Source organism: Homo sapiens, chromosome 17 (assembly GCF_000001405.40).
Source record: "Homo sapiens chromosome 17, GRCh38.p14 Primary Assembly".
In the NCBI taxonomy this organism is placed as follows: domain Eukaryota; kingdom Metazoa; phylum Chordata; class Mammalia; order Primates; family Hominidae; genus Homo; species Homo sapiens.
In genome coordinates this window covers 33534539-33558943 of record NC_000017.11, presented here as the reverse complement: position 1 = coordinate 33558943, position 24405 = coordinate 33534539, and the positions used below count along the sequence as shown (strand labels likewise).

At 43.3% G+C, this 24405-nt stretch overlaps 1 protein-coding gene and 1 long non-coding RNA gene across 2 annotated transcripts in view; one reads left to right on the top strand and one right to left on the bottom strand.

The window, feature by feature from the left end:
• Positions 1-24405, top strand: part of ASIC2 (acid sensing ion channel subunit 2) — a 1143682-nt gene that overhangs the window by 597825 nt on the left and 521452 nt on the right. The window lies entirely within an intron of this gene.
• On the bottom strand, positions 107-24405 carry LOC112268206 (uncharacterized). Its single transcript, XR_002958160.2, has 3 exons — positions 24327-24405; positions 12058-12161; positions 107-128 (listed from the first exon to the last, which is right to left on the bottom strand). It is a non-coding gene; the product is annotated as an uncharacterized LOC112268206 (long non-coding RNA).

Here is a 24405-nt window from a genome sequence, read left to right as displayed (position 1 = left end):
ATCCAAAACTTAATCGGGCGTGGTGGTGCATAACCTGTAGTTCCAGCTACTTGGAAGGCTGAGGCAGGAGTATTGCTTGAATTTGGGAGGCAGAGGTTGCATTAGGCTGAGATTGAGCCAGACTCCGTCTAAAAAAAAAACAACAACAGTAAGGATCATGTCCTCAGGCAGGGTCAACAAATTATGGCTCTTGGTTCAGCTACCAATGTTTATAAGCAAAGTTTTGTTAGAACACATCCTGCCCATTCATTTACATTCAGGTTACAGTAGTAGAGCTGATTATTTGCTACAGAGGCCATATGGTTCACAAGCCTAAAATGTTTACTATCTGGCCCTCAAGAGAAAGTTTGCTGATCTTGGTCCTTGAGTAAGGACTACACTAGATGTATTCTAATAAAGTCTAAAAACAATCCTCAACCAGATTCACTGGGAATTTTTGAAATTTTAGTACTATGAAGTTAGAGGAGATTAGAGAACACCACAGAATTCCTCCTCCACCAACAAAGCATAAAACCAAATCTCTAAAAGTTCAAGGTCATCAGCCAGAAACTGAACAATTTGCTGGAACAAAACTGAACACTCTTCAGAGGAAGATAACATAACCCAGAATATTTATGCCATATCATCCATAATGTCCAGGATACAACAAAAATTACTAAACATGAATAAAAATAGAAAACTCTGATCCATAGTGTAGGGTCCAGCCCCACAGGGTCGGACTGGTAGTGGCCCCCCGGGCCCAGCTGTCTTTTCTTTTATCTCTTTGTCTTGTGTCTTTATTTCTACACTCTCTCGTCTCCACACACGGGGAGAAACCCACCAACCCTGTGGGGCTGGACCCTACACATACGCAAGAAAAAAATCTTTAATAGAAATAGATACCAAGAAGGCCCAAATGTTGGGTTTAGTAAAGACTTTAAAATATATATTATAAATGTAAATTTTCTACTAGAAAAAATATGGTCCAAATGAGTAACAGATTAGTCTTTGCAGAGAAAAGGAAGCTCAAAGAAAGAGTGAAAATGGGAAGACCAGTTGGAAGGTTACTGCCAAGATTCAAGTGAGAGATAATGATGATAGATTATGCTAGGATGGTAGCTATGCCTCTGGAGATAAGTAGATGTTTTCAAAAGATTTTTAGGAGGGATATTTAGTATAATATAGTGATGAGTTGGATATGGAGAATAATAGAGTGGGATGTGTAAATAAAATGCTTAACTTTTTGTCTTGAAAAATGAGATCATTGGTGTTATCATATAGTCAGACGGCAAACCCTGCAGAAATATGTCTTGGACAAGCTGAGTTTCATTTTTAGTTTTTAATCTCAAGAATTCTAAGGCTCATCTTCTTTCTCAACTCTAACACTCCTCCTTCCACCAATGCAGAATGGTTCCTCTTTAGTATTCCCATAATGCTCTGTTGAGATGCTTGCAATTATCCTATTATTCTCTTTTATAACATCTACTTACACGCCTAGACCATGAGCTTCCTAAAGTCAGGGACCATGCCATGTTCATCTTTGTAGTCTTGACTGTTAACATTGCACTTAGCACATAGTAGGTATTTAGTTGATGTTGAATGAATGAATGAATACAATTATTTCAATGATTTTCTTCTCTGAGGATAGTGACTAGGAAACAATTTCTGAGATTAAGGGCAGGGACTTTAGAGTAATATAGACCTGAGACTACACTTGGTTTTTCACTTACTTGCTAGGGACTAGATAAGTTACTTAACATTTGTAAAATGGAGACCAAAAAGGAAAAAGGCCACCTTATACTGAATAAGGTGGGAATATTTACCACATTATAGGAAGTAAGGTAGAAATATTCTTGGAAAGTGGTCAGCATAGTGCTTGCTCCACTTAAGATGCTCCACAAATACTAGCTAATGTGATGATGATAACAAAGAGACAGATGCTGCAAAAGCAGCTGTCCAAGAAGGGCTCTTGCATAGAACAGGAAGAGCTAATTGCAAGAAAGTCTTCCACCATTCCTCCCTCACCTGTGCTTACACTTAAGGCACCTCTCACAGACCAAGACATGTTCTACTGCTAGCAGAATTTGCTAAGATATGCTTATGGGAATAACTTAGGGGAATATGGGAAATGGAAATATGCTGAGAGGATCAATGGCTTCTTTTTATGTAGGTAACTAAAGGGCAGATGGAAAGAAAAATCATCATAGTCATCACTGGCTAGCTTACCTGTAAACACTAATACATATACCTCCAAATTCCACAAAGTTCTTCCCTCAAAGATGACTGTGACTTTCTAGCTCCAGAGGCCTCACTCATTACCAAACTTGGGTGTCTGATGCAGCCACAAACCTTTAGATTAGCAGAATCTATTTCATTATGCTTCACAAAAGTTTAAAATTTTGCTGAAGCACCTAGAAGAGAGCTGTGCTTAATTTTCTGAATTTAAACGTATTTAAGCTCTAAGTAAATAATTGTCATCCAGTGGCTCCTTGGCATTACAAGGTCATAGAGACAGGAAAGAAATCAACTGTAACATCATCCCAGCTCTCAGATTTTCCCACGTGCTGTCATTCTCAAGCCAAGGTGAGTGGAGAGGCAGCTATGCCACATCTTGTCAGGGCTCTTAAACTCCAAGGCATCTCTGCTTTATGCCTTAGGCCCCTCTAGGAACTCCAGTTACTCAGTTCATTGTGTAACTTGCTCTTTAAGATTGTCTCTTCTCCCCATGTCTCCTCTCCCCTTGGCAGAAGTCCAAGGTGGGTTGATAGCCTTAGGGTGGTAACACCATGATGCACCCACAGACCCTTAATCTCTGGCTCTGACCTTTACTCTCAGCCATTACACTTGTCTACCTCATGATGAAGCTGCTGGGAAACCAGTGTCCACATTGCTGTGGGATCACATTGCAGGAATGGGCGGCTGTCATCTTTAAGATATTCAAATAAGTATCTTTTCCAAGAGGCATCTTGGGCTATGATCAACAGATCCTTCCTGGTAGCCTTCGTTATATACCTGGATTCTAAGGTCCTGGAAAACAGAATGCTTTTATCTGAGCTGAATCTCATCTTGCTCTGGAGAGTGCTAGAAGTTCAATTTGGTAGAACTCAGCTAGAGTCCCTGTATCCCTTGAAAATGTACTTAAACCGGCTCAAACCCCGAAATCAAGGCCTGTGGGAGTCCAGAGTTCTTTCCATGATTGCTTTGAATTCCTGACTGCTGACATCCTCCTGGATTTCCTTATCTCGGTTCCTGATCTTCACACCTGAGGTCCAATTTCTACTCCATGGTAACCTGAGCATAAGCTCCATCCTTTCATAGGTTTATGACAGTGTCATTTGGACCAAGAATTTCATGAGTTGGGTTAACTCATGAGCTCAAAGTTTGGGCTGTCACATCCTGCACCTCTCAGCTTTTCACCATCTCTCTCTCCTCATCACCTCTTATTTTTCCACTTTTCATTTCCTGTCTTTCTAGAGTAGCAAGCAAATTTTTACCTTGCCTCTCAAAGAACAGTTATCTTCATACACATGTTGCTGGGGGGTCTCACTTTGCACCCCCAAGAATGTGTTATATTCCAAACAAATAGTATCATTCTTAAAAGATATTTTGGTGTCAGCTGTTAATAGGACATGTATTGTCCTTATTTCACAAGAATTTGGACTACTCCGTCTACACTGGAAAACAAGTACCTTCTAAATCCATTCATTTAATCAGCAGCGGACCAAAAGCATAAGTGGGACCTAGCTAGGAGGGCACTACAGGCATAACTCAGGGAATAGTAGGTTAGGTAGCCACGGACCATTCTGTTACCCGCGTGCCCATAACTTTCTGAGACATCTGACCATTGTGAAACCCGGAAGAGACATGGAGAGGATGAGCATTTGAGACATAGACATTGGAGCCAGACAGATCTGGATTTGATCTTCAAATCCACTTTTTACTGATCACCTAGAAATGGAGATAATGATGGGTATCTTGCAGAGTCATTGAGAGTACTGGGATAAAAATTTATTTAAAACCCTCAGCCTCACCTTGATATGTGAGAGGCTCCTTCCCTTTTATTTATGGTCTAGTGTGGCTGGGAGTTCATTTCAGATGTGTTTCAGTCTTAAAAGTCTCACTGAGAGTCACTTCTCAGTAAGGAAAGATATGAAATATCACTCAGCCTTACTTCCCCCAGCTCAGTCCCCGGCCAGCCTCAGGCATAGATCCTCCCTGGTGGTGAGGACTGTATGTACCCTCTGGTGGTGCTTCTTTTGAAGCCAGGTTGGCCATTCCTTCCTTTCAGACCCACCTCCCTTGCCTGTCAACTTCTTCCTCAAAAAGCACAGAAGACAGAAGAACCACTTGAAAATGATCCTAGCCACAGACACTAGCAGGGCTTGGTACATAGGTTGATGGTCTTTGAACTGGCAACCCCAGGCCCTTTTGGATCCTTGCATGTGCTCTTCCCACATCTTGAAATACCCCTTCCCCTAAGCCTATCTTATTGACATAGTAGAGATTCATTTATTTTACAATAGCCCTTCTATGGTCACTCCCTTCAATTGATCCCCATCCACCACACGTGCACACGTGCAAACACACACACACACACACACACACATATAAGCAGTGATGCTAAAATAGTCTAACTCCATTACTATCTCTCTCCCTTCCCCCACTTAAACTTCAAACCCACTCAGGACAGAGACTCTGTGTCATATTTGTGTAGACTCAAACTGAATTCAACACAATCAAATAACACTGTCTCCAACTAAAGCCACCTTCCAAACAGAACAATTTCACTCATAGGAAACCATCCAAGGCAGTTAAAAACATCACCGACCAATTTGCAAAGTGTTTCCCCAGGCATTAGAGAATTGGGTCTTCATGGCTGCCCTGTGTAATTCTCCCCTAAGTTTACTGCCTAACAGCACTGCCACCCAATTTATTGATCCTAAGCATTTCTGCTGTTTCTGGATGCTTGAATTGCACCTAGGAAGAGAACTCAACTGCAGGGGAAAAAACGAAGGACTCAGATTCAACGTCTACCTGCCTCATGCAGAACAATCAAAGTTCTTTGCTGGGTCCTTCTGCTTTACAAAGTGCTTCATACAGTCATTTAAGCCTCATTAGTATGTGTGAGACATTAGAATAAGTTATTTTATCTGTCTTAGCCTAAGCTTCTCCATCACCAAAATAGGTATAATAATAATAATAATATCTACTACCACATAATTGAATGTTGTGAGAATGAATTGGGTTAAAGATGGAAAGCACATAGTACCATGCCTGGCACATGGAAAGAACTCAATAAAGGTTATCTGGTATTAAAGAAGCTTTCTCAGCTGGGCACAGTGGCTCACGCCTGCAGTCTCAGCTACTTGGGGAGGCTGAGGTGGGAGGATTGCTCAAGCCCAGGAGTTCAAGGCCAGCCCAGGCAACATAGAGAGACCTCCATCTCAAAATAATAATAATAATAATAATAGTAATAATAAAGGATCTGCCTCCCAAACAATCTCCTTTATCAGAGCTGAAGAGGTGATGAGACATAAAGCTGTTTATTCTACCTCTCTTTGCAAGTCTTACCCCTTTAAGTTGTGACACCTGTTGTCTTGGGGTCTCTGGAAGCTCTGAGGCAAGAAACATTCAATTGGTTATTATGAATATGACTCATTATTCTAAAGCCCAAAATAAACCACATATTCAGTTACCACCTGTTCACATGTCAGCTTAGTGCTATCTCAACCCACCCTCTTAGCAACACCTTCACTGGCCCCAGAGAAGACCCCTACCCTTCAGATTATATGCAGTGCCTCCACTGCATTGATTTGGTGTTTCCTTAAAGGACTCCAATTCCACTAGGGCCTCTGCCACTCCAGGGTAGGGGAGGATTGCCAGAACTCTAGGAGTCCCTTTCTCTTGACCAGTCCTAAGCCCCAAAGAACAAGTGACTCAAATGTCCCTGCTGCTCAGAGCCCCTCTTCTACAGACATTGTCCAGTGGGCCCAGGGTTCAGTTGGGAGGGAGAAGAGACCCACTGCAAATGCATTTCCCCTCCCAGCTCCAGGGCGGTGCAAGAGAGCCCAGCAGCACTTCCCTGGGGAAACATTTCCACCATTAACAGCCATGCCCATTGCACTAACAGAATACCTGACGCGAGTGTTCCACTGACCATCTGGCTTCCAGCTTTGTCTGGAACTCAGTACGTAACTTTTGACAAATCACTGCCCTAAAATTGTTACCTCAAAAAATGCACAAATCCCACTGGTTGATCTTTGGCTGAGAAATATTCAAAGTATCTATGATGAACAAGAAGAGATGTTGAGAGTCTAAATGTACCAGGACTTTACATATTGTCTCACCCTCACTCATGGCAGCCTTTCAGGCAGATATTGTCTTTCCTTTTGCAAAGTAGGAAACTGCAGTCATGTCAGAAAGTGCAAGAGCTGGAACTGGAACCCACGTCTGCTGGACACCAAGTCCCTGTTGTTACTTTTCCATCATGCTACATGCTACCTCCCATTTCATGGTTTCAGGAGAGAAAAATCAGTGCAAAAAGCATGAGTTGGCAAAGGTCTTTTGTGTTACTGAGGGAAGATTGTATTGATTCTATCAGTTTGACCACCCTCCATGCCTCCAGCAGCCATCCAACCATCTCTAAGCTCTCTAGGGAGCTGGCCCAGCCCCACTCAGCCTGGCAGGAGGCAAATCTTCCTGACGCTCTGTAATAAAAGGCTTTGGAAATTGGGTTATAAGGAAAACCATCTCTCATTTTCTCTAGTAAGAGAAAAGTTATTCAACAGAGGCCCTTTCCCTTTCAGGGCCCCTTCAAATTCGTTAACTCTCTGCAAACACTGCTTATAAAACAGCACTTGAAGCGAGGCAGCAGAGGCTACCGGGAAGCGGTGGGCAATGAGATTTTAATGTGTTCCATGCTGTGAGCCCATCCCGACTGTCTGAAGAGCCTGGTTCTCAGGCCCCCAATTATTCAGTTTCTCAATCTTCCCCCATCACAGACAACACATCTCATTTCTCACACCCAGCCTCAGGCTCCTTTGTGACAACCTTCATTTTCTGGTCACAGCTTGGTGGCAGCTGGTTTGGGGAGGGATGTGGAAGGGAGGAGAACAATGGCTGAGGTTAGAGAGGTGAGTGGCATCGCACCTGCAGAGTCAGAAGAGCCATGCTGCCAAGTTCCCTTGTGAGGACAATATCTGGCTTTTACATCGAAGGGATCCTGATGGCTATGGCATCTCAGAACAACAGTCTAAAAATCCCTCCTACTGAGTTTTGAAGGAAGCACAGTGAAGTTTTTGGAGAGAGCTGGGGGTCCTAGGGGAAGGATGTCTATAATCTAATTATTCACAAGGAGAAGAGCATTTTCTAGGATGGAAGACCAAGCTATGGGCATCTGATTGGGAGTAGACCAGAATCCTAGAGAAGATATTCTTAGTGGCCATTGATTGGTCATTGGTACAGCCATTGACTTCAAGTTTGACTTGACGAAGGTAGCAGTTTTTTGTCTTTGGTGTCTCTTCCTGTGAAGGTGTCACTTCTCCACAGCCCCACAGGTGCTGCCTTGGCCCATGCCCTCATCATTCCTCCCCTGGACTAGAATGAGTCCTAACAGCGTCCTGACCTCTGGCTGCAACCTCATCTAGCCCTCCTCCCCACAGCCACCACCACCAGAATCTTTCCGGAATGCAAACCTAATTGCACAACACTCTCCTGCTCAAAAATATTCCCTAGATAACATTTTCATAATGCTAGATCAGCATACATATTCATCGAAAAAGCACCGAAAAGACATCCGACCAAATGTTAACAGCAATTATTTTGTGTAGTAGGTTTGCATATGATTGTTTTTTCTTTACACTTTCTTGGTATTCAAGTTTTCTGCAGTGAGCTTAAGATAAATATTATTTATTTTCTAGGCATAAAAATATCATCCAGAAAAAATAAAAGAAATCCTGCACAGAACAAAGTCCAAATTTCTTAGCTTTGCATTAAGCCCACCCAGAGCTTCAACATATCTTTTCACGTTCTTGTTCCACTACAATTCACAGGTCAGTCACACAAAAGCTGTTTCCTACCTAAAATGTAGTCTCCTCTCCACCATCACTACTATCACTTTCCCTATGCTTATACTCCTGTCCTTGCCATAGCTTCTTTTGCTTATAAAACTCCTAGTCATGCACAGAGGGCCACTGCAAATGTACCTTCTCTAGAAACCATAATCTCTTTACTCAGCAGTTATTGTTTTCTCCACTCTGGGCTCATCATACCTCTTGCTAATATTCTCTCCATTAGATTACAAGGGATGCAATTATCCCTTCTCTAAATGAGGAAACCAAAGCCCAGTAGTAGCCAGTAGGTGATATAGACAGGACCAAACCTAGAGTGTCTGGCTCTTCAGCCTCTGCTGTTTAACTACTACACAATAGAGCTTTAAAGCAGTTGCTACTGTCCCAGAATGTAAACAAGAGCTATCCCAGTATGTGAATTAACCATGAGGGTCCTGTGACATCACTGCAGCTGTTTACTGTGATTTGTCCCGCCCTGTTAACATCACACATGTGAGCCCTTTCTTCCCATGATATCGCCTGCCAGTCATTGTCGCCCAGCAGAGCCCACCAGCACTCACATAGCAGACCGCAGCAGTTACTGTGATTGCAAACTTGCAAAGGAGATATTGCCTTAAAAGTTGACTTTAGAACAACACTGCTTGAGATCGTTCCGGTATTTGCACTCCTCCATAAACTATTTCTACAATATATTCACAGAGTAGACAAAGCAATGCTTTATTACTATCTGGACCTCTGGCCCCAAATGACTGTGCAGAACTCCACTGAGCTGGACTGGACCTCATGGAGGGCCTGATTTATCTCAGCTCTCACCTACAACTCTGAAATTTGAATTTCCACTGTGCTCGGATAAGGAGTTGCTCTGAGATGAAAAACCAGAAACACAGAGCCAAAGAAAGCATCTGGCAAAATGCTGGAGGTGAAGCTGGTCCAGGCCTCTGGCTCAAGGCTGTCTCAGCGTCCCTAGGTTTAGCCGCCCCATGAGAAGGCAATAGTTCACAAAGGGCAGGGAGGTGATAAAGCCCATTGTCACCCAAGTCACTGAGGTGGAGGAGGAAGAAGTGACCAGGCACCATGGAGTGAGGCAGGCAGAAGCATTAGGGAGGAGGATGACCACCTCTTTTGGGGAAGAAGATTTAAAACCTGGTCTATCATCCATTATGTTTCACAGATTTCCCTAAAGGAGGAAAGAACAGGACTGTAGATTTAGAACCCAGGAAAGTACTTTCATAATGCCAAGGATCTGAACTCTTCATTTGAAAAACAAGCATGCCCACTCAACAGCCATAGGCAGCATCTGTCAGCCACAATCTAGGCTAATTTGCAAAATGAGCCTTGAAAGGAAGGTCTTGGTCTTGCTAGAATCCCATGAAGCAGGTTAAAGCAGGTAAGAAAAAATTAAGAGAGGAGGTGAGTTTTTAAAGTGATGACCCCATGATTATAGCTTTGAAAAGGAGAGATGGTCAGGAATCCTGATGATTCTTGAGAACCCTAGAATTGCAGACTTGCACGGACCCCAAGCCACAAATGCTTTCTGAAAGATCATCATCAGCAAAGCTTTGCTGAGGGCCAGTAGGGGGTTCCTAAAACGAGTTAAGATGCACCCTGTCTTCTGCAGCCTTTATGTCTCTTTTGGTTCTCTGCATGTTCAAAGTATCCTAAAGTGTTCGCGCTAAAAGGACCTTCAGAGGTCTTCTTGCTCCACTGCCATTTTTATTCATTTAATCAACAAATATTTATTGCATGCCTGCCATGTCCCGGGCACTGTTCTAGGTGCTGGAGCTGCAATGCATCAAGGAAACATACAGTTCCAGCCTTCATAGCATATATGTTCAAGTGGAGGAAACAGACAATACAAGAAACAGACAAAACAAGTGAACAAATAAATACTCAAGATAATCCCATGGTGTTACATCTGGGGGTAAAATAAAGCACTGTGATGTGATAGAGAATAAAGAAGGCAACACTAGATTAGATAGTCAGGGAAGCCCTCTGAGAAGTCATTTGAACTAAGTTGTGAATGACGGGAAGAAGTCCCATATGAAGCTTCAGGGGGAGAGACTCCAGGCTGAGAAAATGGCAAGTGTAAAGGTCCTGTGGTGGTAATGACCTTGACTTGCTTAAGGTACAGCAAGGTCAGCATGGCTAGAGTGGAATGGGCAAGGTGGGGAATCTTGGAAAAACAGTTGAGTGTCTGACCATAACTGACCAGATAGTAGGGATTTGGAATTTATGCAATGGTAAGGGCAGCCGTGAACTGTTTTAAGCATGGTAATTACCCATGGTGAATGGAGAGTAGAGCAGGAGAGGAACACCCAGGCCTGTAGACTCCCAGTCCAATGCTCTCTCCCACTACAATGCATGGCCAGTGTGCAATAATACCCCTCATTTGCTCGCTCTGACTTCCAATCTAGTTTTCTAGAATTGCAGAGTGAAGCACTTTGTCCTTTCTTCTAATTAAACACTGAGCGGAACAAGCAAGGAAATGTACTTCTGCACAGAGCCATGTCTCCTCCTGAGCGTATCTTTAGCCCATAAAGGGGAACGAAATGTGATAATTAGTAGCCAATTAATGTGCATTTCAACAAACTATATTTTAATTATTCTGTCATAGGTTGTCTTCCTGTGAAGTATTCCATGTTAATTAAATCCTTTTAATAATCCAATGAAAGCACCTCTTTTCCTTGATGTGCTGCTTAAAAGGGAGACGACAGCAGACTCGGCTCATGTAATTTGAGTTAATGGCATGAATCCTGCTTTGAGCTTTCATATGCTTATTGAACTAGTGATCTCTTAATACTTGCTAAACTTTTTAATATATAATTATCACACAATTTCCCTGTTAACGTCTGAGAGACTGCATTCTGATAAGCTCCAAGAACTTTGCTGGAGTGACACTGAACCTGTATCTTGTGCCTGGCTGTGATGGCTGGCTGTATCAGCTGCCATCTGTCATTCCTCTTGTCCTGACCTCTTCCTCAGAATTGGTCACTGCAGTTTTGCTTTTAGGCATTGAGACCTACTGTGTGCCTGGGCAGTGCTGGAACTGAGGAACTGGGTATGAGGTGGGGAGACTGGTCTAGCATTCTGTCTCCTAGCATTCTAGCATTCTGCAAGGGGACTGGGGGTTCTCAGATGCAGGTGTAGCATGGGCAGAAGCTGGCGAAGGCAGCAACCAGGGACAATTAATTAGGATGGGGGGGATGAGTTGTCCCAGCCAGGGAGAGGCCAAAAGTCCTCATTACCAAGTCCAGTGGGTTGGAGGTCACTCTAGGCTTCTGCAGGATGGGGCGACTATCCATAGGTCCAATGGCAGAGAGCAGGAGGGCTTGTAGGAGATTAGGACTGTCAGTCTCTGAGTGATGGCCCAGAGACTGTTGTGATCAGATACCTGGGAGGGTATGAGGGACTCCAAAGCTGGGTCCAGACCAGGAGGAAAGACAGCCAGCAAATGGACAATTCAATGGGTCTGGACTCTAGCCTCATGAATAGCTGGGATAGTGCTTTGAAGGATAGATTAACCCACTGTAATGCATATAGACTCACCAAAATCTATAAATTCTCAAACTCACTAAAAGTTTATTTCTTGATCATTTAATAGTGGCAGATGAATATACCCAATTGACCGACCCACCCCCTCTGCTGCCCCATCCATGGTCATTAGGTACCCAGGCCCTTTCCATGTTGTGTCTGTGCTGTCTCCTAGGACAGTGCTTCTCAAACTGTAGTTCCTATATCAACAGCAGCAGCGTCACCCTGGAACTTGTTAGAAATGCACATGCTCAGGCCCCTCTCTGGGACACCAGATCAGAAATATTGGAGGTAGGGCCTGGCAACCTTTTTTAACAAGCCTTCCAGGTGGTTCTGATGCACCCTCAAGTTTGAGAAGCACTAGCCTAGGTCCTAGTTGTCATCTGCACTCAGCCAGCAGATGAAATAGGAGAGCCTGGAGAGGTACTTGCAAATTAAAAGCCTTGACCCCAAGGTAGCACCTGTCACTTCCACTCACGTTGCTTTAGTGAGAACCAGTCACCTGGCCATGTTGAGCTGCAGGAGGAGCTGGGAGTGAGGTCCTGTGCTAGCAAGGTCCTGTGCCAGCTACACGTATATAATCTGTAAGAGGAGAGAGAAATGTTTCAAGCCCCATCTCTTCCACAAAACATGAACCAAGGGCTGGAGGAGGTAACTTGAGGGACAGAATTGCCCTACCCATGAGGACTCAGGAAGGCACTTGGCAGTTTTCCCAGCATTTCTTCTCTATGGAGAAGGGGTTCTACAAGGTGTCTGGAGGGCTCACATTGGCTCAGGAACTTCAGGAAACACAAGTCAAGGAGGTTACATTATGTGCCCAAGGTCGCATAGGTAGAAAGTGACAGGGCTGCAGCTTTGTCTCACTATTGCCTGATGCCAAGTTCTAGATGTCTTTCATCATACTCGGGTGCCTCCAAAATTCTAGCACCCTTAGTCTATGTAATTGAATTAATTGTTGAAATAGGCCTATGCATTTCTCCTATCTCCATTTTACAGCAAAAGATGCTGCAATCGAAGGTACAAGCAGGTGTTGAGAAAACATGAAGGAAGGAATCCAATTAAAGAGCACAAAGAAAATTCCATAGAGGACATAGCAACTAAGAATGAATAAGATGAATATATGTGATTGTGTCTATTTGTGCATATGTGTGTGTCTACATATATATACATATACATATGTATATATATTTACATATACTTATGTATATATATTTACATATACATATGTGTATATATATTTACATATATATATGCACATATATATGAGAAAACTTCACCCATAAATGCATCATGCTAATACAACCAGAATGAGCATTATGCTTCATTTCTATGAACAGCCTTCAATAGGAACAAGGAAGAGAAGGAATTCTAGACAAAAGCATAAACAGAATTCCAGAATGGAAAAGTCCCAGCAAGGGAAAGTCCAAGGCACGTTTGGAGAACACCAAATAGTTGGGTGTGCCTGGAGTGGGAAATGGTGGAGAATAATGCTGGGGCAAAATGTAGGACCCAGAACGTAAAATAAATTGAATGTCATGCTAAGGAGGTTGTACTTTATTCTTTAAATAATAAGTATCCAAGAAAGAGTTTTAGGAAGAAGAATTACATGTTTGGATTTTTATAGGAGCAAGATTACTCTGGGAATAATAAATAGGACTGATTGAAGGAGAAGAAATTTCTAGAAGGCAATTAGAGAAGTGAGGAGGTTTTTGCAATAGCTATGGTAAAGAGAATGGGCATTGAATGAAGGTGACAGAAGTGGTTAAGAAGAGGAGAATCATTGTGATTAGAGGTGGCTGGGGAGAAAGAAGTGGCCAAAAATGAAGCAGATGTTTCTCTTGTCTATTATGGGAATTTGGGGGATATTGAAAAATAGAGCACAGTAGAAATCCGCGTCTCGGGTAAAATATGCTGCATTTAATGAGCTCTAAGATGCACAATTTTTTTCAATTTTAATGTCCCTAAGATCAGACTGTCTCCTACAAATGAAGACGTCTTTCAATCACTGTCAGACAGCAAGTCACAAGGAAGTCATCACAGCCCATACATGTGTGGACTGGGTCTCACAGCCATGAATGTTGTCAAAACTTCAGCTGGGTTATGTGCATTGCTTAACATATAGAACCAACAGCTACTGAAGGCAGGATAAATTGTCATATTTCTTTAAAAAAGGATTAATGAAATTGTAAAGCAATAGAGGCTGGTGGGACTGATTTATCTATGGAGTAGGGCTATCTTTAAGGCAACAAATATCAATTTGCCAAAAATCATTTTACTAAATTTGAACAGAAGCTACTTAACTTCTGGTGATACATAATTCAACTGGGTGGGTAGAGGGGTGTAAAATATGAGTGTAGTCAAGTAAGACAGTTCCCAGCACTGAGATTTTCTTGAAAATAATTCTTGGAGACAGTAACAGAGCACTCTTTTAAAAATGCTGCACCATCAACAGGCTGATGGCACACAGGGAAACTCCGGGGGACAAAAATATAAATACTGAGGACTGGAGTCAAAAAAAAAATCAGAAGATTCTAAAGGTGAATACACATTCTAGGAATACCCGACCTATATTTTTTTTCATTTGTATTTTCCATTTTATGTATGTATAAGGGTGATATATGGGCTATTTTAATAAGTATGCAAAATTTTTTCTAAGTGATATAAAAGCATTGTGTCATCATTTGTGAAATGCTTTTCTTTCTTAGCAGTATGTAAAATAATGGCGCATCTTAAAATTGATGGCATCTTAGAGTCAACGAAATGTAGCATTCATTATTCTCAACCTCCCGGCTCAGAATGAGGTAGATGTTGAGTCTAACATTTTTAAATGTAGCTGAACAAAACCTTCAGTGCAATGCTGATGAGAATTTAAAAAGGTACAGAAAGTTTAGAAAATGGTTCAGTAGGTTCTTGCAAAGTTAAACATACACTTAACCTGAGACCCAGGAATTTCCACTCGTGGGTATTTACCCAGGAGAAATGAAAACATTTGTTACACAAAGACTTGTACACAAATGTTCATAGCAGCTTCATTCATAATAGCCACAAACTAAAAACAATCCAAATGTCCATCAGCTGGTGCGTGGACGAACAAAGTGGGGTATACCTTATTCACACAATGGTCTACTACTCAGCACTGAAAAGGAACAGACTGGTGACACAGGCGACCACATGGATGAATCTCAAAACCATTCTGATAAGGGAAAGAAGTCAAATACAAAAGACTACAAACTACAAGATTCCATTCATACATCACCCTAGAAAAGGCCAAAAGCATAGTCACAGAAAACAAATCATTGACTGCAGGCTCCCAGGGGTTGGGGTTGAAAGGAACAGATTGACTGCAAAGGGCCAAAAGGGAATTCCTGGGTTAGGGAAAGGTTCTCTAGCTTTACTGTATGGTGCTTATGCAACTGTATACTTTCTCAAAATGTACTGTACTCTCTTCTCAAAAAATGTAAACTTTACTGTATATAAATTATTCCCCTGTAAGCCTATTTAAAAATGTGGCTGAAAGACTGAAACAGACTGGGGTTCAAATCCCAGCTTTTCCGTTTACTAGCTCTGTGCCCTGGGCAGCTTCCTTAACCTCTCTGAACTGACCTCCCAGGCTCCTCATGCTTAGAGCAGAATAACAAGGCTTGTGTAATAAGACTTTATTGAGAGTACTAAGCGAGGTAATGTACGTAAAGTACTTGGGGAACTTGACAAAGAATAAATGCTCGATAATGGTAGCTCGCATGCTAGCAGGGACCACAGACAGTTTCATTACTGATGAATTAATCAGTTGTTGGGATGACAGAATTGTATAGGCCAATCAATTGCTTGCAGCTGAAACCAACATTCTGGTCAAAACTATGTTGAAATAGGGGCTCCAGGGAGATGCAACTTGAGCCATTTACAGTCTGTACTTTCAAGCTTTCACTGTTACTTCTGACACTACCTCTCACATGAAAGGGAGAGAGTACTGGGTGAAAGTTATTTTGCATAGAGGCCCCAAAGACACTTGGGAGTCTGGGCACTGTCCCTGGCACACAAACTGAAGATTGATTTGTTTTTTTTGTTTTTGTTTTGTTTTATTATACTTTAAGTTTTAGGGTACGTGTGCACATTGTGCAGGTTAGTTACATATGTATACATGTGCCATGCTGGTGCACTGCACCCACTAACTCGTCATCTAGCATTAGGTATATCTCCCAATGCTATCCCTCCCCCCTCCCCCCACCCCACCACAGTCCCCAGAGTGTGATATTCCCCTTCCTGTGTCCATGTGATCTCATTGTTCAATTCCCACCTATAAGTGAGAATATGCGGTGTTTGGTTTTTTGTTCTTGCGATAGTTTACTGAGAATGATGGTTTCCAATTTCATCCATGTCCCTACAAAGGACATGAACTCATCATTTTTTATGGCTGCATAGTATTCCATGGTGTATATGTGCCACATTTTCTTAATTCAAGATGGATTAAAGATTTAAACGTTAGACCTAAAACCATAAAAACCCTAGAAGAAAACCTAGGCATTACCATTCAGGACATAGGCATGGGCAAGGACTTCATGTCCAAAACACCAAAAGCAATGGCAACAAAAGACAAAATTGACAAATGGGATCTAATTAAACTAAAGAGCTTCTGCACAGCAAAAGAAACTACCATCAGAGTGAACAGGCAACCTACAAAATGGGAGAAAATTTTCGCAACCTACTCATCTGACAAAGGGCTAATATCCAGAATCTACAATGAACTCAAACAAATTTACAAGAAAAAAACAAACAACCCCATCAAAAAGTGGGTGAAGGACATGAACAGACACTTCTCAAAAGAAGACATTTATGCAGCCAAAAAACACATGAAAAAATGCTCATCATCACTAGCCATCAGAGAAATGCAAATCAAAACCACTATGAGATACCATCTCACACCAGTTAGAATGGCAATCATTAAAAAGTCAGGAAACAACAGGTGCTGGAGAGGATGTGGAGAAATAGGAACACTTTTACACTGTTGGTGGGACTGTAAACTAGTTCAACCATTGTGGAAGTCAGTGTGGCGATTCCTCAGGGATCTAGAACTAGAAATACCATTTGACCCAGCCATCCCATTACTGGGTATATACCCAAATGACTATAAATCATGCTGCTATAAAGACACGTGCACACGTATGTTTATTGCGGCATTATTCACAATAGCAAAGACTTGGAACCAACCCAAATGTCCAACAATGAAGATTGATTTGAAGTGACTTTTGCTTCCCACTAATTGGAATCTACACACACAACCAAAGGAGTCAAGTATTTAAGTATACAACAGAGAGTGTATTCAGCATTTTGCATTCATTGGTCTTGTTGTCTTTGTTAGAACCTTATGAGATAGAAACTTTCATTATTCCCATGAAATTGATGAGGAAACAAACTTAGAGAGATAAAGAAGCTTGCCTAAGATCACAGCTTGTAAGGGCAGAGCTCCCAAACTCTTGTCCAGTGGGTCTTAACCCTGCACTAGACCAAGCAAAGGACCTGGGAAACCAGGTGAAGGATGCATGGAAGCAGAGCACCTGGGATCCACACCTGGAGATGGAGTACCTGTAGTAGTGATGTGCTTGAGAAGTGGCTGCTTGGGAAGGGGCACTTGCATTAGAGTCTCTGGGAGTAGGTAAATGCATGAAGGTGGCTCACTCCTTTCCATGAGGCTTCTGGGGAGCCAGAAATCTCCAAAGTCCTGAGAAAGTGGAAGCCCTAATGATACAGTCCTCACCTTACTGCAGATAGGATGTGCTTTGCAACAATGGCCTGAGTTTCCGTTGAGCCTCCCTATTCCTGGGCTCAGGTGAGTCCCTGCTCCTCCCTGAACCTCGTTCGCCCCAGTGGTAAAATGAGTGGGCAGAGTTAGATGTTTGTTGGCTCCCCTGCAGTTTGGATGCTATAATATAGCAAGCTGCACTTCATTTTCACATGTCCACAGATTTATCAGCCACTCAATCACTCTGTTCGGGGGGGACATTGTGGGGTTTCTGATCTCCCGTTTTGCAGAAGTCCAAAGATTGGGGCCAGGGCTACAAAATCCTGCTTTTCTCAGAGCAAACCTGTCGGAGTAAAATTTAAGAGAGAGAGAGAGACTCAGTCAAATCTTAAATCCTAGAAGTAGATCATTAAACTTTTACAAGCTCTAACAATGTTGGGATTGAATAAACCCTGTCTTAAGTATTAAACTTGTCAACCTTAAGATGGCAAAACCAATTCTACTACTTCCCTCTACATTAAAGACACACAAATAAGTCATTGATTTTTTTTCCCTAAGAAAAAAAAACAACATGCCCAGTCAGATCTCTTTTGTAAACCACATAAGACACAGGAGTCTGGGCGAATGTAATGAAGGATTCTCTTTTTAAGAAGATGAAAATAACATTTCAACCTGAGAAATCAAGAATATACATGAAGATGTGCAAAAGGGATTGTGTCTATTGCAACAACGATGTGAAATGTGTGAAAAGCACATATAAATGAAGGGACAGCTCTTCATTCAGCTGATGCAATAACTGACCTAAATGTGTTAGATTCATAAACACTTATTAAGCGTGTCCTGTGTGCTGATCTCTGTGCTGGTAGGTCCCAGTGAATAATAAGACTTGGAAGACCTGGTCCCTATGCTCAGTGAATGCACCATCAAGTAGGGAAACCTATACCCGCCCACCTAGGAAAGTACTCTTGAGAGACTCACAGGAGTGAGTCCAAGAACTCACAGGAGTGACTAACTAACTCTATGTGAGGGCAGCGAAAATGGGTCACTCCTTGCCCTTATAATAAATTGCAAAGTCTTCATCATGGCTGATGAACCCTCCCTAAGAGGGTCCAGGTAGACCAGCTAGCCTGACCTCCCCTTGTTGTCCTCCCCCTCAATCTTTATGCCACCTCCCATTCTTTGGGAAGTGCTGTGATGAGTTGAATTGTGCCCCCCTCCAAAATATATTGAAGTCCTAACTCCTACTACCTATGCTGAGTGTGAGCTTATTTGGAAATAGGATCTTAGCTGATGGTCAAATTAAAATGAGGTCATTAGAGTGAATCCTAATTCAATATGATTTGTGTCATTAGAGAAAAGGGGGAAATATGGTTATAGAGACAGACATGTACAGAGGGAAGAGGATGTGAAGATACACAGAAAATGACATCCACAACCCAAGGAACACCTGGAGCTACCAAAAGCTAGAAGAGAGGCCTGGAACAGATGCTCCCTCAGAGGCTGCAGAAAAACCAACTCTACCGACACCTCGATATTGGCATTCCAGCCTCCCGAACTGTGAGACAATCCCTGTCTGTTGTTGAAGGTGCCCAACCTGGGGTACTTTGTTATGGCAGCCCAAGGAAATGAACACAAGTGCTGAGTTCTTTCAGTCCTAGGCTCTTACAAATGCTGTTTCTTGGCCCGGAACACTCCGCTGTCCCTGCCCCTTCACCTGGCTAACTCCTCAGCCTGGATAGCACCTTTTCGACAGAAGTCCCTTGTCACTCATTCCCATGACACTGCATGGGTCTCATGTTGTTCCCTGCACTCTCCCATGTAATTCCCTGCTATGTGCCTGTCTCCCATCTGGACTGTGAGCTCCCGAAGGTCAGCACCTGGCACAGTTGGCAGCCAGTAAATACCCGAGCTAGTCAAGGATTGAGCTGAGCTTCCTATGAGAATCAAATGAGAGAGCAATTGTGAACGTGCTGCACGAGCCATGAGGCCCCAGGCACAGGGGCTGGGTTTTAATTATTGGTGTCTGTACTGTATATGTGGTGATGCACGATGGTTGCACTTCTACAAGGCATTGAATGTTAAAGTTGTCTACATGTTTCCCTGGCAAACAGGAAAGAATGTGCATTTGGGTCTTCAGATCTTTGCATTTGGAGCTGCCCTGCCTATGCTTCCAGCTTTCCTGCCCTCCACCTTGGAATCCAGCCTTGAGCCCTGAAAGGGGCTCAGAAGGAGGAAGCTGTTAGCATGGAAGGTGCTAGCACCATTGTAGGGCAAGAAAAGCAGGCGCCAATGGCAGGCGCAGCCTTGATTGACACCAGGGAAAGTCCAGAAGGGCTCTCCATCTGGCTGCCCATTTAGAAACTTGACCTCTTTGCAAGCAATAAGCATCTGGGGTCCATTAAAATGCAAGTCACCTGCTGGATGTCTGAGAAAGAATCTGCTAGTGAGAAATTAACCTCTTTGGGGGCACTGCAGGCTCCATCTGCAGGTGATAGGAGTGTGTACTACAGTAGCCAATAGTCACCCTTTCTCAGACTCTAGCCTAAGGCCACGTGGCTCATCAGAGGCGATTGTGTTCCCTGTCTGTGCCTCAGTCTCTTCAACTGCAAATGGGACATTAACCTCTTCTGAGTCCACCCACAGACTTGCTTGCTGGGAGAAGTGGGGGAAAATGAGAGTCTGAATGGGTTTTATGGGCTAAAATGCACTTTATAGATTTAGAAGATTGTTATCCTATTCCTAGTAAGTATTCATTACTAAACTCAAATTTCACTGTTCTATTTCTAAATCTACCTGAGCCTCCAAGTATCTCATCCTCACAGCCTCATGCCATGGGCATGCCTCTTCAAAAGAGAGCATGGATCTACCTTGTAGAAAAAACCTGCCCTTGAATTAATTCCATTCCACAGGCATTGGTTGAACAACTGTTAATGTGGATATACAAAGAGGGGATAACAGATCATGCTCTGGAGCAGCTGATGCCCCTTTGGAAAAGCAGCTCCTACATGAGGTGATACAGAGTAGAAGGTGGAATAGACAGTGCTGGGCTGAGTCAGAGGAACTGGGTTTCTATCCCGGCTTTGCCAAGCACTGGCCTTGTGACCTTGGTAAGTCCCCACTGCATCCCTCTCAGTCCTTCTTGGTGTTCTCCTCCATGCTGTAAGTCTCAATAAAAAAGGCCTCCAGGTAGAAGATGCCACTTCAGAGAACAAATTGGGGATCCCATTGTGGATGCCATGGGGAATGAGGACTGTCCCAAGGTCCTCCCACTGGCCGTGTCTGTATGGAGCCTTTGATACCTCCTAACCTCTTCTCATTAGCCATCCCAACTCTGCCTACAGGGGTATGCGATGAGACCTAATCATTCACCATTTTCACCTCTAAGTCCTGTTTAGCTTCCATACCCTGCTTCTCCTGTCTCTAAGGTCCAACTAAAGGATATAGACAATAAAAAGAGTGATCATTTACAGGCAGGAAGGTTAAAAAGAGTATGGAAATTTGCAGTTACTAAGCATTTATTGAACACTTACTGCATGCCAAGCATTTTACTCAAGACTTTTAATCTTCTATTCCTTTAGTGCTCCCACCAGCCATAGGAGGATATCATTAACCCTTTTCTACAGAGAAAACTGAGAATCAGAGAGGTTAAGTAACTTGCCCGAAGTCACGTAGTGAAAAAGTTATAGATAGGGATTAGCTTTCTCTGGTGCCCTAACAAAGAGGCTTTAGGCTAAATCTATCTAGATCCTGTTCCTATTGCCCCTCCTAGACACACACTCTGACGCTTCATTGACAGATACTGACCTGAGGCTCGGCGTACACTCTCCCTCCAGGTACCCTATCAAACTTTCTGTTCTGTTTTCATTCTTCCCTTGGTTTCCCCCTTTGCCCTGTGGTCCTTGGACATAGTCAGCCCATCCAACTTTCCAACTATCTTGCAGGCCCTGCCTTCCAGAACCTCCACCCACATTATGATCTGAGCATCTGCTGACTTGACTTGGCTACATTCAATCATGTCATATTGAAGATCAGGTATGTGTTTGTCCATTTAGCAGTAGGCATATTGAGCATCTTCTGGTGCCAGACACCAGTTCGTGCACTGAGAATACAGTGAACAAAGAAAGATTCCCACCCTCACAAAGTGCATTTCAGTAGAAGCAGCAGATTTCACTTGTAAACAAGTGAACACATGCATAACATAACTTCAGGAAGCACGTGCTGTGGCAGGGTGGGCGGGAGGTGACTATTTTAGATAGCTCAAGGAAGGCCTCTAGGAGGAGGTGATATTTTAGCAGAGACCTATATGATGTAAAACAGCAAATTATATGAAGATCAAGGGGAAGAGCATTTGAGGCAAAGGGATCAGCAAACACAGAGACCCTGACACCAGAACAAGCTATGTTGGTGGAACAGATACACCACCACCCCAGCTGCAGACCGATGAGTGAGAGAGGAGTGGCAGAGGCTGAGTCAGAAAGGTGGGCAGATGCCAGATGTGTAAAGTTCTGTAAACTACAAAAAGAAATTTTAATTTTACTCTAAGGGCAATGGGAAGGCCCAGAGAGGTTTGGGCAGGGAAGTGATGTGGTGTCACTTACATTTTTATTTATTTTTTTGAGACAAGGTCTCGCTCTGTTGCCCAAGCTGGAGTGCAGTGGCATGATCATGGCTCATTGTAGCCTCAATATCCCCAGGCTCGGGTGATTCCTCCACCTCAGCACCCCTCCCCCTGCCCCAAGTAGCTGGAACTACAGGTGAGTGCTACCACACCTGGCTAATTTTTTGTAGAGACAGGGTTTTACCATGTTGCCCAGGTTGGACTTGAACTCCTTGGCTCAAGTAATCCACCTGCCTAGGCCTCCCAAAGTGCTGGGATTACAGGCATGAGCCACTGCACCTGGCCTCACTTACACTTTTAAAAGATCACTTTGGCTACTGTGTGAGGAGTTAACTGGGAAAGAGCAGAAAATTACAGGAAGACCAGTTAGGAGCCTACTACAGTCATATATGCAAGATAAGGTGAGATGCTAGTGGCTATGACTTGGGTGGTAGCAGTGCAAGTGGTAAGAAAAGGTGAAACTTGGAAAATATTCAGTGGATGTGTCGGTAGGCATTTAACAATCTGCTCTGTTGGGAGCAGGGTGACCTTATTTTGTAGCATTTGTCAATTTCCATAGTGCAAATACCTCCACCATGGGCCGCCTAAAACTTTCAATATGACATCAACTGTCTTCCAATATTTCTAACAATTTGACAGTCGGCTCTCACAAGTTGGCTTGAGCCAGTTCCAGCACCCACTGAATTTATTTTTGAGGTAGAGTCTACAGGACTTGTTGAAAGTTAGGATGTGGGGGCAAAGGAAAGACAGAAATCCAAAATGACTGCCAAGCCATTGAGTATATGCTAGTGCCATTTACTGAGATGAGAAGACTGAAGGGAGTGGTCAATTTTGGAAGCGGCTCAGAAGCACATGAACGTCACTCCCGTATACTCCCCAGCCTTCACAGGTGGAAAAAAATACCAACACACTTTTGCTCTTGGGCTAGGGAATAAGGAGAACATTTTCTACTATCTCCATAAATCTAAACAATCCCGAGGCCACTTTGTGGTGCAGCAGTGAAGAGAATGCACCTCGGAAACAAGACTCTTCTGTATTAGTCAGGATAAGGCTGGCTGCTATATCAAATACCTCCTGAAATCTCAACGACTTAGTCCAATTTAAGTTGATGTCTCTTTTATGCATCGTGCAATTAGCAGTGTGTGGGGAGGCTGGAGTAGAGGTGGGAACTCTGTTTCACGTGGTCATTCAGGGATCCATGCTGATGGACACTGTCCTCCTCCATACACGACTTCTTTTTTATTTTTTAATTTCAATTTTATCTTTCTTTGTTCTGCTTTTTGGAAGCATTTCAGAATAAGTTTGTAAGATTTCAACACCACACATGGCTTCTGAAGTCAGTCAAGGGATTAATGTCTATTGGCAGGAGGCGATAGAGAGAGGAGAAGGCACATCAGCTTCATAACCACTTCCACTAAGAAGTGACATTTTTGGGGCCAGGCACAGTGGCTCACGCCTGTAATCCCAGCACTCTGGGAGGCCGAGACGGGCAGATCATGAGGGCAGGAGATTGAGACCATCCTGGCTAACACGATGAAACCCGTCTCTACTAAAAATACAAAAAAAAACCTTAGCCGGGCATGGTGGCAGGCGCCTGTAGTCCCAGCTACTCGGGAGGCTGAGGCAGGAGAATGGCATGAACCTGGGAGGCAGAGCTTGCAGTGAGCCGAGATCGCACCACTGCACTCCGGCCTGGGCGACTGAGTGATACTCCATCTCAAAAAAAAAAAAAAAAGAAGCGACATTTTTATTCCCACCATATCCATTGCTAAGAACTGGTCAACATGGCCTCTTCTAATGCAGGCAACCTGAGAAATGCAGGTTTTGGCCAGGCAACCACTTCCCTACACAGATTCAGTCTTTGCAAGGGAGCAGGAATCCTTGATGGATGGCCATTCATCTCTGCCTCTGGCCCCACCCCAGCTCTGCCTTGAGCAAGTTGCTTAACTACTGTGAGTCTCAGTTCCATCTCTGAAAAATGGGAACAATCCTAATACTTACCCCACAGGATTTCTGCGCTGCTAAGGAAAGCAAAGGAAATGATACTCATAAGGCACTTAGACTGGTCTGCCAATGCATTTGAACCAGGAGTATTATTTGTGATCCATTCCAACCTCCTGATTTTCCAGATAAGCCCCCCTCACATCAATGTGCACTTCTTCTCTCAATTCTAAGCATTCATACACAGAGAATGAGGCCAAATAGTAAGAGCACTTTGAAAGGGATTTATAGCTTAGAGGTGCCCCTCGGTATAGAGCACTGGCTTTGGAGCCACAGGACCTGAATTCTAGTCTAAGATCTAACAGCAACACGTTAGGTCATTTGGCAATGTTCTAGGAATTCTTTGAGGCTCCCTTTCCTCCTTTATGGGGTGATGGATAACAATACATACCCAAGCTTGCTGGGAGGATGAAGAGCAACATCATATGCAGAGGCCTTGCAAACCCTACGCACATGAATGTCTGTTTCCT